Below are 14,984 nucleotides of genomic sequence, written 5' to 3' on the forward strand. Positions count from 1 at the left end.
CTTGGGTGGCCACAGGGTGTCCCTCCCGGTCCCTCCAGGTGGAAAAGACTCTGTTTGGCACAGGCATTTTGAAGACCCAGGAGAGACTTCTGATTGAGGAACTCCTGCTCTCCTGGGCTGGGTTTAGGGAAAAAGCTCCATCCAGGGCCCACGTGGGGTCCCAGAATTTCTTCAGAACCCAGAACCCGTCTCTATAGGAACGCAGAGGGAGCAGCACAGGGACATAGGTCTTCTCCTTCCCATCCCTGGTCCTGGAGCAGGTGCCTGGGCCCTCAGCTCACTGTGTCACATTGGAACCCGTCTCTGTCCCCCTCCCTCTCTGTCCCCCTCCCTCTCTCATCCCCTTCCTCCTTCTCTCCCTCCCTCTCTCTTCCCCTCCCTCTCTCTCCCCCTCCCTCTCTCCCCCTCCCTCTCTCTCCATCTCTCTCTCTCCCCTCCCTCTTTCTCCCCTCCCTCTTTCTCTCCTCCCTCTGTCTCTCCCTTCCTCTGTCTCCCCCTCCCTCTGTCTCTCCTCTCCCTCTCTCCCCCCCCTCTGTTTCTCTTCTTCCCTCCCTCTCTCTTGCTCTCTCTCACCATAGCCCCTCCTCTTGCAGTCTCCAGCCATTTGGGGGGTTCCGCCTCCCCCTTGAGAACTCACACACTCACTCTGTGTCTGTGACTTGGTATGGAAGGGAGAGCTGGGGGCGGGGAGGCACTGATGCCTGAGGGTAGCTGGGCTGTACCATCCTCAGCCTCGCCCAGACCCTCCAGAGACCCTAAGGACCTCCCCAAAGAGCAAGATGACCACACACTTTACCTCCAGAGGAGAGGAGACACTCCTGCGAGGGAATGGGGAGCACAGTGTGAATGACTCTGGGCAGCATGACCAGCTCAGACAGCCCCAGGCCAACCCTGGCACACCGGTGCATGGTCCACCTGCCTGGCACAGTCCACCTGCCCGGCCCTGGCACTGCAGGGTGTGGGCCCTTCTCCCTCCGTGTTTGGCCCTCTCTGCCATGGGCTGGTGCTCCCCTCCACCCAGCCGTGCTGCCCCCACCTGCGGACTGATTCAATTCTGCCCCCATCCCAGCCGTGCCCACCCCTCCCACGACTTCCCACGGCAGAGTTGTGGTCCTGGCGGCTGGCTGCAGCTTTTAATTGTTTTTCTCCCCCCAGATGCTCTCCACTGACCCTCCCTCCCCTCCGAAGCCGGCGCCCCCCTTGCTGCCCGCAGTGGGCTGGGGGAGGGGACACGGATTCCAGTAGCATTTCCGCCCTCCGCTCTATCATTTCGTTTGTTCTCCTTTCCTTTCCCTTTCTTCTCCCTCCACGGGCCCAGCCTCTGTGATTAAGCCTCAAGGCCTCCTGCTGCTTTTAATAGGCCTGCGGGCCTGACCATCTGATGAGAACCGCGCAGCACAGCTTGTTCCCGAATACTTGCGCTGGAATCGCCTAATGCACGGTATTAATCATCACTGTCAGGCCGTTCAGGCCCTAAATACACCCACCCAGTATAAAATTATCCTAAACAGAAAAGAAGCAGGCTGCGATTGGCCGCATATTGAAAACAGACATGAGACAGCCCCCGCCCCCAACTCATCCCCCTCCCAAATTTCAGGGCCGCCTCCAAGGCCTCTGCCCGGTGTCAGGAACAATAGCTAGCTCTCGGTGGCAGTCAGGCCGCATTTGGTGTTCACACAAGTCCCACGTCGGGGAGGGGGCCGTCCTCTGCACAGGGCCCTGAGTGCCCACCCTGCAGGCTTCGGGGCCCATGCGTGGCCGGAGGCAGAGGGCTTCCCGGTTGGGCTGAGGGCTGTTTCAGAGCAGTGCCCTGAGGAGGACCAGGCCTGGGGCTCTGGAGCCAGAAGTCAGGAAAGGGAGGCTGCAGCCGCACACCCGAAGAGCTCGAAAGCTGGCCCCCAGCCCAGACTCCCACGCAGGGACGTCCCTCACAGCAGGATTTGCTGCTTCCTCCTGACCAATGCCCTCCTGTAGTAAAAGTTAACCGGGTGTGAAATGCATGTTGCCTGAGGTGCGGTAAAAGTTTACGAGGGCTGGGCAGCTCCTAGGCATGGGCAGGCCCATTTCTCACCTGCAGCCTGGGTCCCTGCAGAAACCTGGCTCGGCCTGGGGGCTATGGCAGGGCCCTCATTGGGTGAGGGAGGCCCGGGGTATTTCTTGCCACATCTGAAATTGGACCCGAATGCGCATGGGGACACCATCCTGCAGCCTCTGCGTTTGTCCTTGGGGTCATTGAGGAATCTCAGCACTGGCCCTGGCTTCTGGCAGGCACCTGGGCCATGGGAGCCCAAGGGTGGCTCCCTCGGGCCACCCCGTTACACTCCAGCCAAGTACTGGGGGCCACGGGCTGAGGGCACAGGCCACAGGGGATGAGTCCAGCCCCGCAGTGTGACCGGCAGTTGGCAAACCATTGACTCAGGCCACCTCACTGCACCCACAGGCTTTGCAGAGAGAACAGGACAATCCTAGCTCAGGCTGGTGGAGGTTTGGGGATGCCGAAGCAGCCAGAGAGTGGCCAAGGGGGTTGCACTTGGGGCCGGACCTCCTGACTCCTGCCTCTGTGTCTTGTCACCAGGCCTTACCCTGGGGACCCCTGCTCCCAGCGGAGCCAGTAGTGATGACAGGCGCAGCTGGGAGCAGCTTGGTAGACCTAGGGGGTCTTTCTAGAAGCCAAGGGGGCCCTTGGCACACACATGTGGATGCAGGGCTGCCCACCCAACACTGCTGAGCCCACACAGGCCCAAGAGAAAAGGGAAGTGTGGCCAACTCTGGACTCCCAGTAGCTTTCTCCTGCCCAGCCACGCCCATGGAACCGGGTCCTGGTCCAGGCACTTGTCTCCCGTGAATTCCAGAGAGAAACCTTAAGCGATTACAAATGTCTATTAAACATTAAATGGTGGTGGATTCTGGACTGCAGAGCATTTGAGACGCTGCAGATAAAGAACCATTGCTAGGCCGGGTGTGGCGGCTCAGGCCTGTAATCCTAGCACTTTGGCAGGCCGAGGTGGGTGGATCACCTGAGGTCAGGAGTTTGAGACCAGCCTGGCCAACTTAGGGAAACCCCGTCTCTACTAAAAATACAAAAATTAGCCAGGCGTTGTGGTGCGTGTCTGTAATCTCAGCTACTCAGGAGGCTGAGGCAGGAGAATCGCTTGAATCCAGGAGGCAGAGGTTTCAGTGAGCCGAGATTGCACCACTGCACTCCAGCCTGGGTGACAGGGCGAGACTCTGCCTCAAAAAAAAAAAAAAAAAAAATACCTTGCTTAGAGCTGCCACCAGATTCTCCACTGCATTCCTTGGGGTCATCCAGGCCCTCAGCCCTTTGACCACAGGCACTGGCCATAGGTGGACAAGGTCACAGAGGGGCCATGGGAGCTCAGAACCACCTTCTCCAGGCTGGGGTGTCTGGTGTTCCAGCTCTGTGCTGCTGGGGTGTCTGCAGAGCGTTCCATTTCTATTGGATAATTTCCTTTCCTCTTCGCTGAGTCAGTGCCAGCTCCAAGGCTACGACAGAGCAGGCTGGGACCAGGACGTCTAAATCCTGACCCAGGCAAGAGGCTCCTGATACCAAGTCATGCACAGACAGGAGGGGACATTTCGATGGATGGCGAGGTCTCCTCTCTCCCAGAGGAGAGTGCCCTGTGTTCCCAGGCAGAAGAGGCAGGACCGGGCCGCACCATGAAGGGCTACCTGGCCAGGTCTGCACCTGCTGAAGGGAGTGGGGTCAGTCATTCCAGAGCTTGGGGGAGGCGGAAATCTGACCAGAGGCAGAAACCTGTAGAGTGCTCTGTGGCTGAGCACCAGGGGGGAACCCACCGGGACAAAGCCAGGACTGCTGCCCTGAGACCAGGCCTCCCGCACCGATACCAGGCCTCTCGCCTTGAGACCAGGCCTCATAGTGCTGAGGATTGGATCGTGGGCCACAGAACACCCAGACCTGAAGGTGTGCCGGGGAGCTCCGAGCTCCAGGCTCTGCAGCTGCATCTGGGGCCAGGGCCTGAGGCCTGGCAGGAGGGGGAGGGAGAGGAGTACAGAGTGGAGGCCTCCGGGGTATCAGGTACAAAGTGAGAAGGGCCTAATGCAGGGAGATGGCCACACCCACCCACCCACCATCTGACCTCACGAATTAATTGCGCCTGCTCTTCCAACACAGCTTCTCTTTCCATTTCTTCAGCCTGGCGGGGGGCTTGGCCTCCATTTTCCTGTCTCCCAGGCAAGGGGTTGAACTAAACAGTCCCTACTGGTTGGTGCCACCCTGGGGAGCTAGGTCTCAGGGGCTCTGCTGGTTGCAGCTCTTGTTTGAAGGAGGGAGTTTTGCAGGGACCCTGACGCTACAGCCAGGCGTGCCCAAGAACAATAAAAACAAGGGCAGCATCCGCTCGACGGTGGGTGCTCTCCTGCTGGGGGGACCGCTATCCTGGCCACACACCTTCACTCTTGTGGCCCCGGACCCTCAGCACCTCTCAGACCACACAGATGAGAAACTGGGGCCGGGAGAAGTGCAGCCGCCACCCTGAGGGTCTGAACCGTTCAGGGGTTGCGGTCCACTTGCCCCCAAGACAGTGCACTGCCATGTGGGGGTACACAAGGCTGCTGGCTCAGAGGCCAGTCCTGCCCGCCCAGCCTGTGTGTCTGTGAAAATCAGGGTGCCCTGCAGATCTCAGACCCTTCCTCCCCCAAACACCCCCCAAACACCCTGGCCGTAAGATCTGAGGTGAATGTGAGCAAAGACGCCTTTCCCCACTCCTCTGGGCACATCCTGATGAGTGGCCCGTTGGTGACAAGTTGACAGAGGGGCCCCTCCGTGACAGGTGATGGACTTTGAACCCAGTGCAGCTTTCAGGGCCCAAGACCTTTCATGTTCTTCTGGAAACGGTGCCATTGGCTTTTCCCATGACTCCCACGAGGGCGTTAGCAGAACCTCCCTCATCTTGAGCAAATCACGTCCTTTCGCACACCAGCACGCGGGCACAGATGAATCACGCAGGGGGCTTGAGCAGGCCGACGTGTCTGGTGTTTGTGGAATTGTTCCAAAGCCCCCCCCAGCCCCCCTGCGCCAAGCCACCATCTCTAAAGGTGACAGTGCCCCTGGCCAGGGCGGCCACTCTGGCCTGATGCATGACCGTCTGCTCAGGACGTGCGGCTGCCGTCTCATCAGGCGGAGGGAGGTCCGACGCCGTGTCCACACCCAATCTGCCCTCCGGGGAGACGGGAGTGGGGGAGGCAAGCATTTGAAATCCTCCCTTTCCAACAGAGAAACACTGTTGGGGAGACGGTCAGAGGAGGCTGCCCCCAGCTCTGCTTTTCCTTGCCTGGGTGCAGAGTATTTAAAAATAAAAGCCGCAGCTGCCAAGACAGCCCATGGAGCGTTTGCTGTGTCTGGACGCTGTTCTAAGGAGCGCTTCACATAGATGATCTTAGCCTGCCCCAGAGCGGCCCCAGGAGGAGGCACTGTCTCTAAACCCACTTTACAGACCAGCAAGCTGACAGCAGGAGATGTGAAGTCACTGGGCAGATCGAGCAGCTCGGGAAGGTGGGCACGGGACAGATCCAGGCTCAGAGGTGAGAGTCCTGGAGACCGGGCCAGTGTGGCGGTTCCTTATCTCCAGCTCTGGGATCGATAAACTGTAGGGACCCTCAGAACCCAGGTGCCGGCTGGCTACCCCGGATCCCGGCAGCGGGAGGGCCGAGTCTCCTGAGAGCCGGGTGGCTTTGCTTTCCATCCCACAGACCCTGGAGCAAACACACTGCCTGGACTTTGTCCAGATGCAGAGGCTACACCCAGCTGCAGCTTGCCCACAGCAGCCCCAACTGAGGACCCTGAAAGTTGCTGCCATCCTCAGGCGGGTGCAGAAAAGGAGTTTCTGCTGTGCGAAGGACCCCCAGCCCCAAGGAAGGCTGCATGCCGGCCCTGTCTCTGCTGTCTGGGGCCGGGCCCTGGGAAGCCTCAGCAGCCAGTCCACCTGCGGGCGGACCTGGCTCTTGGCCCCCAGGGTCTGCGTGCCTCCACCTGGGCCATGAACGGGGACCTAACTGTTAGGCCCTGCTGTGCCCTCCTGAAAACGAAGGCTGCATTCCTGCTCTTCATGGCTGGATACACCTAGTGGCCTCTTGTTAAATGCCAGCCCCACCCCCCGCCCCGAGCTGGAAAACCTTCAGCCGTGTGCTTCCCTCCTGGGTCTCCAGCTCCAGCCGTGGGAAATGGAGCACAGTCGACAGGCAGGATGGAGAGTCTCACCACGGGGCCTGGCCAGTGGCCCCAGGAGGCTCAGGGTCAGAGCTTTCCAGAGCCCTGGATCCGCCCCTCCTTCCCCTTGATCCAGGAAGCGCCGTTCCCCCCACGGGCCCCCAGCCAGTGCTGATGGAGAGGGGCAGCCGGCCCACAGGGCATCATCCTCAGTCCTGTTCTGACGCTTAACCCACCCTCTTCCTGCCCAGTCGTCTACGCCCATGGCCGCGAGCGCCTCTGCCTCCGGAGCAGTGGCCTTCCAGCAGCACTTCTCAACCCAGGGCCACTCTGACCCCCAGGGGACACTGGCAACACCTGGAGATGGTTGTGGTTGTCACCTCTGGGGGTGCTGCTGGCATCTGGTAGCTGGCACGTAGGAGCCCTGCCCCACATCCTGCAGTGCCCAGGACAGGTCCCACAGCAGGAAGTGACCCAGACCCAATCGTCCCCCATGGTGAGGCAGAGAAACCCTGTGGTCTCATACAGCGAAAGCACTGACCCACACTGACCATGAGGCAAGAGGCCCACTCGTGAGCCTTGCTGTGCCCTTCACTGACATGCTCGCCCATGAGCTGAGTCTGCCTTGACCACTGAAGGAGGCTGCCCTGGCTAACGGCGGTGCCCAGTGGCCTGGCCTCACGCGTGGGTCCATCCCGGAACCACACAGTGGGCCTGGCCATGACCCCCTTGCCCAGGGCAACGTGGACCACACAGACACGGTGCAATAGGCCACTTTCTGGCCTTGGAGGGAAGTTTGTCTTCCTCCCTGTACACAGATAAAGTCACCATGAGACTCCCGGTTCTGCCTCCTGGGGACCCAGCCTGCCTGCTGGGGAACCGTAGTTACGCAGGTCCTGAACTGGGTCTTCTCTGGATGCGAGACCTTCCCCCTGGCTGAGGGTGCTGGAGAAGACCTGGGCAGTGGGTGGCAGCCATGGGGACTGATGGCAAAAGACCTCGGCGGGTACAGAAAATCTCCCACAGTGGAGGAGGTGTTGTCTCCAGAGGCAGCCGCTGCGCCCCAGACTCCCAGCCGCGGCTTCGGATGCAGCTGGAATAAGGTTCCAGTGTTCCCTTTCCCGTCACCAGGCAGAGCCCCGAATTCTCCACTGGGGCCGGAAGAGGAGCTCTCGGACCCCTCCCTCCTGCCCTCAGCCCTCTCCGAAGAGCTCAGAAACATCTCCGATTGGAACACGACACAGACCATCCTTCCCAGAGCAGCAGGCCGGCTGGGGCTCCCGTGAACAAATATCGCCACGTGTGCGCGATCAGAGCTGAGTAACCTGCTCCAAACCCAGGACACTGTGTGTGAGTCCCACCTCCTTCCAGTCTCCACAAAGTCACAGTGTGTGATGATTCCTGCCGGGGAGGAGGGAGCTCATTCCAAACTCAAGCCATTTTGAGGAAAACAGACACCCCTCTTGGGCCGCAGAGGAGGTGGGGAAGCCGTGAAGATGTTCTCCATGGCCGGCTCCCATGAGGAATCAGAGGGGGAAAGCACAGCCGCTGTGGCTCATGTTGTCATCTTGGGTCGCATTACAGCCAGTTGACTCGCGGAGTCCTCACTGGCCAACTAGAGTCTTCAAATCAACCAATGTCCATTATTTGGAGGGTCTCACTCTGTCACCCAGGCTGGAGTGCAGTGGCTCCATCACGGCACACTGCAGCCTCCACCTCCCGGGCTCAAGCGATCCTCCCTCCTCAGCCTCCCGAGTAGCTGGGACTACAGGCAGGTGCCACCGTGCCTAGTTAATATGTCCATTTTGTGTTGACTTGGGGTCTCACTATGTTCCCCAGGCTTATACACATTTTTAAATGCAGACTTGTTGAAGTTGCTGACCCTCCTGGCCAAGGGCAGCTGCCTTTGTCCTGGATGTCAATGTCCATGAAAACAGCCTCAGAACTATCAGGGTCTCCCTTCCGACCAGGGCCTGAGGCAGAGCTTCCAGAGACCCTGCACATGGAACACATTGGAAGCCCTTGTCGGGTGCCACCTTCTAAGTAAACACACTTAAAAAAGCACAAAGCAGCAAGAATTGCGGCCCGGGAGCAGTGGCTGCAGCCTCCCGAGGTGAGCCTGTCTGCACCATCTGCATCGCATCTCTCCCTGCAGCTACTCCAGGCTCGGGTTTCAGCCTCCCCTCCACCTGTCACCGTTGTTTATCCTCCTCAGCACTCACAGCCCCATCTCTCTGGGCCTTGTCTTAAAGGGTCTTTAGAAAATTTTTGGCAATCTTGACTTCTTTCCCCCTTGGAAAAAAAGCGTCCTCTGTGTGCCTGAGGGGAACGCACTGGGTTGATCCCTCAGCGGCAGCCAGAAGGCAAGGCGGGAAAAACGAGCCTGGCCTGAAACCACGCCCGTGCTCAAAGTGATGTTTACTTAGAAGGTGGCACCCGACAAGGGCTTCCAATGTGTTCCATGTGCAGGATCTCTTGGAAGACGGATGCCGTGTGCACGCAAAGACGGCAGCCAGCTCCTCACAGAAGGCCGCCCGGCTCAGAACAGGTCCCTTCAGCCGGCTCAGCAGCCAGTGAGAAGCAACAGCAAACGTAATTAACTCCATGCGTTCCCGTTAGCGGGCCGCCATCCCTTGTCCCCAACTGTCACATCTCTGAAAGCTCTGGTAAATGAATCGAACACTTCTTTTATCTCATCGTCCAGGACATGGCGCTGTAATGCTGAACATATGTGCAGAGTTTGTGTGTTCTTGATCGGGAACGGGAGGCCCAGGACACGTTTTCTGTGGCAGCTCGAATGCAGCTGAGGGCGCTTGCGGGCCAGAGCGACCAGTCCCCTCTAGAAGCAGCGGAGTCTTCTGGAGCCTGTGCTGGCTCTTTGTTGTTGGATGAACAAGTCTTCTAGGCTCTGCCTTGCCAGGATGGAGCACCCTCATGCTCTGTGATGGGTGTGCCGGGCCACAGGTCCCCAGCCAGAAACAGAGGCTAAGAACTATGCCAGAGGTTTTGGTTCACCTCTGTCACCGGCTGACACCACCGACACGTTGTCCTTAGGCACCAGACCTGCCAGTGAGCCCCCAGCAGAGCCCGGTCCAAGTGCGGGATGGACTGTGGCGTAGATGCTGGGAAGAGGTGTCCACTGCTCTGTGGCTGTCCAGTCACTGCCCTTACATCCAGAGACCCCCGCTCACAGCAGAGGAGGAGGGCCATCAGAGCCAGGTGCCACTCTGATGCCCTCCCTAGGTCCCGTGGGGAGGAGAGAAGGCTACGTGGGCCTCTGGGCAGACCTGGGTGGGACAAGCACAGGGCCCAGCACGCCCATCGGGACAGGAGTCCAACTGACCGAGTGCTGTGGCCACAGCGCCCGCAGATGACAACAGGAGCGGAAGAGCCATCCCACCCGCCTGGCTCCCAGCAGGACCCCCTGACTCAGGCCCTGCTGGGACCAGGCCACTGCATTTTCCCCAAGTGGAACATCCCTGGAAAGTCACAAACATGGGGCCAGATGTGCGGGTGCCGTCCCGCGGCGGGAACGAGGCAGGTGGCTGGCGGCCGGAGTCTATGCACTCTCGTTTTCTCGGCGGAGCCACTTGTGTGTGCTGGAGCGAGGACACTGACTAACAACGGCGGCAGTGTCTGCGGAACAGCGTTCCATTGAGCGCAGGAAAGGCCTTTTGAAGTGGGGACAGTTTTAAGAGGCAGCATTCCTCGCCTCACATTTCGGCTCTGGGGCGTGGACAGAGGGTGCCACAGATACCCTTTGGGAGGCCCCCGTCCCCCTTTAAACCAAGCAGCTGCTTTCACCGTCACAGCCTGTGGGCCGTCTCCCCTGGGACCCTCCTCAGCATGGGCTTCAGCTGCACGCCAGCCCCCAACAGGGCTGGAGACGGGGTCTCTGGGGATGACGTGTTGAAGCCGTCCAGGACCCAGAGCCACACTGAGCACTCATGGCCTAGACCCTCCACCGATGTCTGGGCAGCTGCCCCCTCCCTCACAGCCAGCAGGCAGAACGACCCCTGAAAGTTGTGTGTAGCACAAGATAATTGCAGTTTTGTGGAGGAAAGGAAAAGGCTACAAAGAAAAGGGTATCTGTGGAACGTGGCCCTGCTGTTCCTGCATGCCACAGTCCACATCCTACCCAGCTGGAACCCTGAAGCTCACCTGGGGCATAACACCGGCCCAACTGTGAGCTCCTCGGATCGGGAGCAGATGGGGAATCGGAAGGATGGTGTTGTGGGGCTTTTGGAGAAGACCCCACATGGGCTGGGGTGAAGAGTGGAACAGAAGGCTATGTGACCAGGTGGTGAGAAGTGACTGTGACCCGGGAGCGAGGGCAGGTGGTGAGAAGTGACGCGGTCTGGGAGGGCAGGAGGTGAGAAGTGACTGCGGTCCAGGAGGGCAGGTGGTGAGAAGTGACTGTGGCCCAGGAGGGCAGGTGGTGAGAAGTGACTGTGGCCCAGGAGGGAGGGCAGGTGGTGAGAAGTGACTGCGGTCCAGGAGGGCAGGTGGTGAGAAGTGACCGCGGCCCAGGAGGGCAGGTGGTGAGAAGTGACCGTGGCCCAGGAGGGCAGGTGGTGAGAAGTGACCGTGGCCCAGGAGGGCAGGTGGTGAGAAGTGACTGTGGCCCGGGAGGGGTGTCTGCTGGTAGCCAGCTGGTCCCGGGGACATCTGTCTGGAAGGTGAAGGAAGACACCTGTGTTCACTCAGTCCCATCCCGAGGCAGACATTTCTCCAAGGAGCATGGAGTGGCCTCAACTCCTTCCCCTGCCTTTGTCTTCATTCTAGTCCTGGTGACCCTGTCCTCCTTCTAGCAGACGTGCCACCGGCACATGAGTGAGTGCAAATGTCAAACATGATGGAAAGTTCTGGAGCCATGCATAGCGGGCACGTGGTGTGTATGCTTGTCCACCCTCTGCATGGGACACCCAGGCGTCCTTCCACCTGGGAACCAGGCAATCAAAGCAGACTCGGGCTCACAACGGGCGGTCATGGTTGCGGCAAGAAGAGCCAAGGAAATATAAAGGAGGCTGGGGAGGTGCCCGGGAGTGGGGCAGGCAGAGATGGGTCAGGAGGGGCCAAGACAGCTCAGCAGGGTGGGGCTCGGGTGTCATCGGGGTCCACCAGGCCAGGCTCACGGTGGGAACCAGTGGAAGACGGAGAAGAGGAAGCAGGGTCGCCTGGGACTGCCGAGGGCCTTCGGGTCACAGATGGTCCTTTCTAAAGAGTAGGAGTCATCAGAACTCTCTGGAAGCAGCTACCACAGATCCCACAGCAGGAAGAATCTTCTGGAAGTTGGAGCCCTCTTGAGGCTGTCACAAAGCCGGCCGGGTCTCCTCACAACCTCACAGATCCTAAAATCCCCCCCGTGGGACGGTCTCCTCCCAGGCTGCCCTGACCTGCTCCAGGGAGCGTCGGGGAGCCATAGGGAGTGTCGGGGAGCCAGGAGCAGCACAGCCTTCCCTGTAGCACACTCTCAGCTGGCCCCAGAACTGTTCGGGGTTCACACAGGAACGAGCCCTCTTTCCAGCTCAGCGTGGTCTCGGGATTTGAAGACACCACAGCGTGCATCATTATGTAGGGGCAAATCAGCCCCTCCTGGCTGCTCTCCAGGGAGCAGAGAGAAGGACCCTGGCATGTGAGAAGCTGCTACCCCACCCTGCCGGAGTGGGGCCTTTCTGACTGGGCAAGGCCCATCACAGCCAGCCTCCCCTGGGGAGACCAGAGGCAGATGCTCAAAGTCCTCCAGCCCGGGGGTCGGGTGGTAAAAGGCTGCTGTCCGCTCCTGACTGCATCTCGGGGCCCGCGACAGTGTGAGAAGGGCTGCCCGCCTCTCAAGACGGGTGTCCCATTAACTGCTGTCTGTCCACTGTCATTTTCCTTTGACAACTTGTTGAACACAGCAGCGTCCCACATGAGATGGACAAGCTCACATTGCCCTTAATTAAACATACCCCAGGAAGGTATTCTTCTCCGGGAATTTCCTCCCAGCAGGGAGGGAGTCTCTGGGCTGCTGGTCCCTGGATGCTCGGGGCCGAGGGATCCCGGTGAGCACGGGGGAGCTGGGACTTGGAAGCCTCTGCCAAGCCCTTCTCAGGCCCAGATCCTGCATTCGGGCAGTTTGATTTTCTTGGGGCATCCTGAGTGCCATCCATGGGTGTCTTCCTTTGTGAGAATCTTATCCTGCCTTGATTTCATGAGCATGAAATTCATAGTGAGCTCCCATTGCCCCCCAATAAGGCCCCCTTGGAAACAAGCCCCCACAGTGGCCGGGGGGCAGGTGCACAGCTCAGAATTGCCCACTTGAAGGTCCTTTTCCAAGGTGACCACAGCCACCCAGGAGGAAAAACTCAGGAAGCTGAAATGTCAGGACCAAAATCCTTTCAAAGAAGGAGAAGGAGGAGGAAGGAAGGAGGAGAAAGCAGAAAACTCCAAACATCACAACACGGGCCCGCTGCAGCTCCCACCTCCAGCTAAAGCAGCCCGGCCAAAGGCAGCACCTCCTGAGCCAGCCCGCTACGCACACCTCAGCCCTTCATGAGTTAAAGGCAGCGCCCCCCGCCCCCCGAGCCAGCCCGCTACGCACACCTTAGCCCTTCATGAGTTCCCTCATTTTGTCTGCGGGGGGGAAGTTCACATGCCTCCCCCGCATCTTGTTGCACGTGGCCTCTGGCGTAGAAACTGCTGGATGAGATGCAAAGTCCTGCTACGCAGCCTCAGTCCTCCGAGAGCTCCAGGTGGGTTTCTGGAAGGGAATAGGGGTCAGACCCACCCAAATCCACCCCACCGTGGCCACGACGTGGCAGTGAATGTGCTTGAAAAGAAGACAGAGCAAAGCTTTTCCTTCGGCGTGAGGTCCTGGGCGGAGGTCTGTATTGTGGGTGGTTTATCGGTTCTTCAGGGGCCCCTGGTTTTCCATGAAGTGGCCCCCAAGTCGTCCTGCCTGGCAGCCTCACCTTGACCTGGTAATTTACAAACCCAAAAGTGCCCGACAAGGAGCCACAGCCTCTTGAAGCGCTCAGAGGTTAACACGGTGACACCCACCCTATCTGGGGCACTTTCTGGACAAGCCCCCGGAGGATGGCTCCTCTTCCATTCCAACCCAGGCCTCCACTGAGCCGTCCACATCCAGGATTCCCACCGCTCAGCCCCTCACCCCCGGCAACAGCCTAGTAATGACCCTGGGCTCCTGCACGTGGCCCCCTGGTGCAAGGGCAAAATTAAAGCAGGCTGGACAGCAGCATAGTTATTTGCTGCCGGGCAGTGACTTCCTCCCCCACTCAGCTGCGCGGGGGACAGGCGGGCCTTATGGAAACCAGAGGCAGAGCAAAGCTTTAATTTTCATGGCCGGGCCAGGAGGCCCAGAGGCCCAACATGGGCCCGCGCAGCCTCAGCCAGGTGCCCCGAGCAGGACACGTTGCTTCGGAAGGAAGCAGCATGTTTTCGGGGACCCTGTGGTTTCTGGGTGCTGCTGTTCCCACCTGGCGAGCGCTGCCTTCTGCACGCTGCCAGGGCTGTGTGTGTACGCCGTCCCTCATTCCCTCGTGCAGCCTGGGAAAGCCTTACCCAGTGCTGGGCCCCTGAAGTTTCCTCCCAGGGGATGCAAAGGAAGGGAAGGCACCAGGGTCCCCAGGAGAAAATAGGTTTCTCTGAGCCAGGGACCCACTCGGCCAGTGGGCGAGGGCAGCAACCTGGAGCTGGCACTGTGGGTTCCTTTTGGGTCTGTTCAGGAAAGTGGGAGTCGGGTCGCATGGCCCCCCGCCTGGAGCTTGGCAGTGCCCAGGGGGCCTTGGGTGGGCGCAGTGACCCTGGGCGCCCTGTGCCGCCGTCCTCCTCTGCCACACACTCAGCCTGCTGTGGCACCAACAAACCCCTACCAAGCACCTACTGTGTGTCACACGTGTGCCAGATCTGGTTCCCCACCCCTGGGCTGGGGGCTGTCCCTGCCCCTGAGGGTCAGGAAGAGGAAAGGCGCGTGTGGCTGGGTTTGGGAAGGAAGGAGAGGCAGTGAGGAGGGGACCTCCTGGCCAATACAAGTGCTCCCTCCCGCCTCTTCCTCCTTATATTGGGCAGGCCCACACCCCAAAGCCCCACTGTATTCCACCACAGGACCTGAAAGAGCTCTGGACCATGGGGTGATCCATGGGGTTGGTGGTGCCCCCAGAGTCAGCCAACAGACAAGGAGAGGGAATACTGGGGGCTCTGTGCTAGGCAGCCAGCGGCCCTGAATGTTAGCTGCAGGCAGAGGTGTCAGGCCCTGAAGCTGCCACTGCACACACAGGTCATAAATCCCGCCTAAGTGGCTCCCGTCACCTCGCCGCGGCCTCGTTTCCATTCTGCAGCAGCCAAAGGTGATTAATGAGAATTATCATTTGTGCTAATCAGAGCCGTTTGGAGGAGGTTGGGGTGGAAGGAAATGCCCTTTGTGGGGCTGCAGGGACGACTTTGAAGGCTGTCAGCTGCACGTGTTTATGTGCGCAGGGATGCACGTGCACACACATGCACACATACACACACGCACACATGCACACAAACGCACACGCATGCACACATGCACACACACGCACACACGCACACAAACATGCACACATACGCGCACGCACACACACATACACATACATGTTCATGCCACATACGCACAGAACTGGCCTGTGGGGCCAGGGAGGGTCTGGGAAGATGGCGAAGAGGTGAGGCTAAGAAATAACCCTTGACCTGTGGCTCAGGGGGGCTCTAGCGCCCCGATGTGCCGACAGCCGGAGAACACAGGCTTCGCACAGCTTGGTCCGGCTGGAATGAATTC

General features: G+C 59.6%; 1 protein-coding gene across 2 annotated transcripts in view, besides 6 other annotated features; it reads left to right on the forward strand.

Moving 5' to 3' along the window:
• PRDM16 (PR/SET domain 16) overlaps positions 1-14,984 on the forward strand; it is a 369,419-nt gene that overhangs the window by 282,022 nt on the left and 72,413 nt on the right. The gene's annotated exons all lie outside the window — the stretch shown is intronic.
• Positions 880-1,854: an enhancer, noted in NCBI's record as "OCT4-NANOG-H3K27ac-H3K4me1 hESC enhancer chr1:3268668-3269642 (GRCh37/hg19 assembly coordinates)". NCBI's record gives its function as "activates a minimal SCP1, AML or CMV promoter by ChIP-STARR-seq in naive and primed H9 embryonic stem cells {active_cell/tissue: H9 hESC(naive and primed)}" and the evidence as "EXISTENCE:reporter gene assay evidence [ECO:0000049][PMID:30033119]".
• Positions 1,855-2,828: an enhancer, noted in NCBI's record as "H3K4me1 hESC enhancer chr1:3269643-3270616 (GRCh37/hg19 assembly coordinates)". NCBI's record gives its function as "activates a minimal SCP1, AML or CMV promoter by ChIP-STARR-seq in naive H9 embryonic stem cells {active_cell/tissue: H9 hESC(naive)}" and the evidence as "EXISTENCE:reporter gene assay evidence [ECO:0000049][PMID:30033119]".
• Positions 5,133-6,024: an enhancer, noted in NCBI's record as "H3K27ac-H3K4me1 hESC enhancer chr1:3272921-3273812 (GRCh37/hg19 assembly coordinates)". NCBI's record gives its function as "activates a minimal SCP1, AML or CMV promoter by ChIP-STARR-seq in naive H9 embryonic stem cells {active_cell/tissue: H9 hESC(naive)}" and the evidence as "EXISTENCE:reporter gene assay evidence [ECO:0000049][PMID:30033119]".
• Positions 5,601-5,895: a silencer, noted in NCBI's record as "tiled region #10388; HepG2 Repressive DNase matched - State 5:Enh, and K562 Repressive non-DNase unmatched - State 21:Repr". NCBI's record gives its function as "represses a minimal TATA promoter and a strong SV40 promoter by Sharpr-MPRA in HepG2 and K562 cells {active_cell/tissue: HepG2 | K562}" and the evidence as "EXISTENCE:reporter gene assay evidence [ECO:0000049][PMID:27701403]".
• Positions 6,025-6,914: an enhancer, noted in NCBI's record as "H3K27ac-H3K4me1 hESC enhancer chr1:3273813-3274702 (GRCh37/hg19 assembly coordinates)". NCBI's record gives its function as "activates a minimal SCP1, AML or CMV promoter by ChIP-STARR-seq in naive H9 embryonic stem cells {active_cell/tissue: H9 hESC(naive)}" and the evidence as "EXISTENCE:reporter gene assay evidence [ECO:0000049][PMID:30033119]".
• Positions 9,621-10,120: an enhancer, noted in NCBI's record as "H3K4me1 hESC enhancer chr1:3277409-3277908 (GRCh37/hg19 assembly coordinates)". NCBI's record gives its function as "activates a minimal SCP1, AML or CMV promoter by ChIP-STARR-seq in primed H9 embryonic stem cells {active_cell/tissue: H9 hESC(primed)}" and the evidence as "EXISTENCE:reporter gene assay evidence [ECO:0000049][PMID:30033119]".

This window comes from Homo sapiens, chromosome 1 (genome assembly GCF_000001405.40).
Source record: "Homo sapiens chromosome 1, GRCh38.p14 Primary Assembly".
NCBI classification, from domain to species: domain Eukaryota; kingdom Metazoa; phylum Chordata; class Mammalia; order Primates; family Hominidae; genus Homo; species Homo sapiens.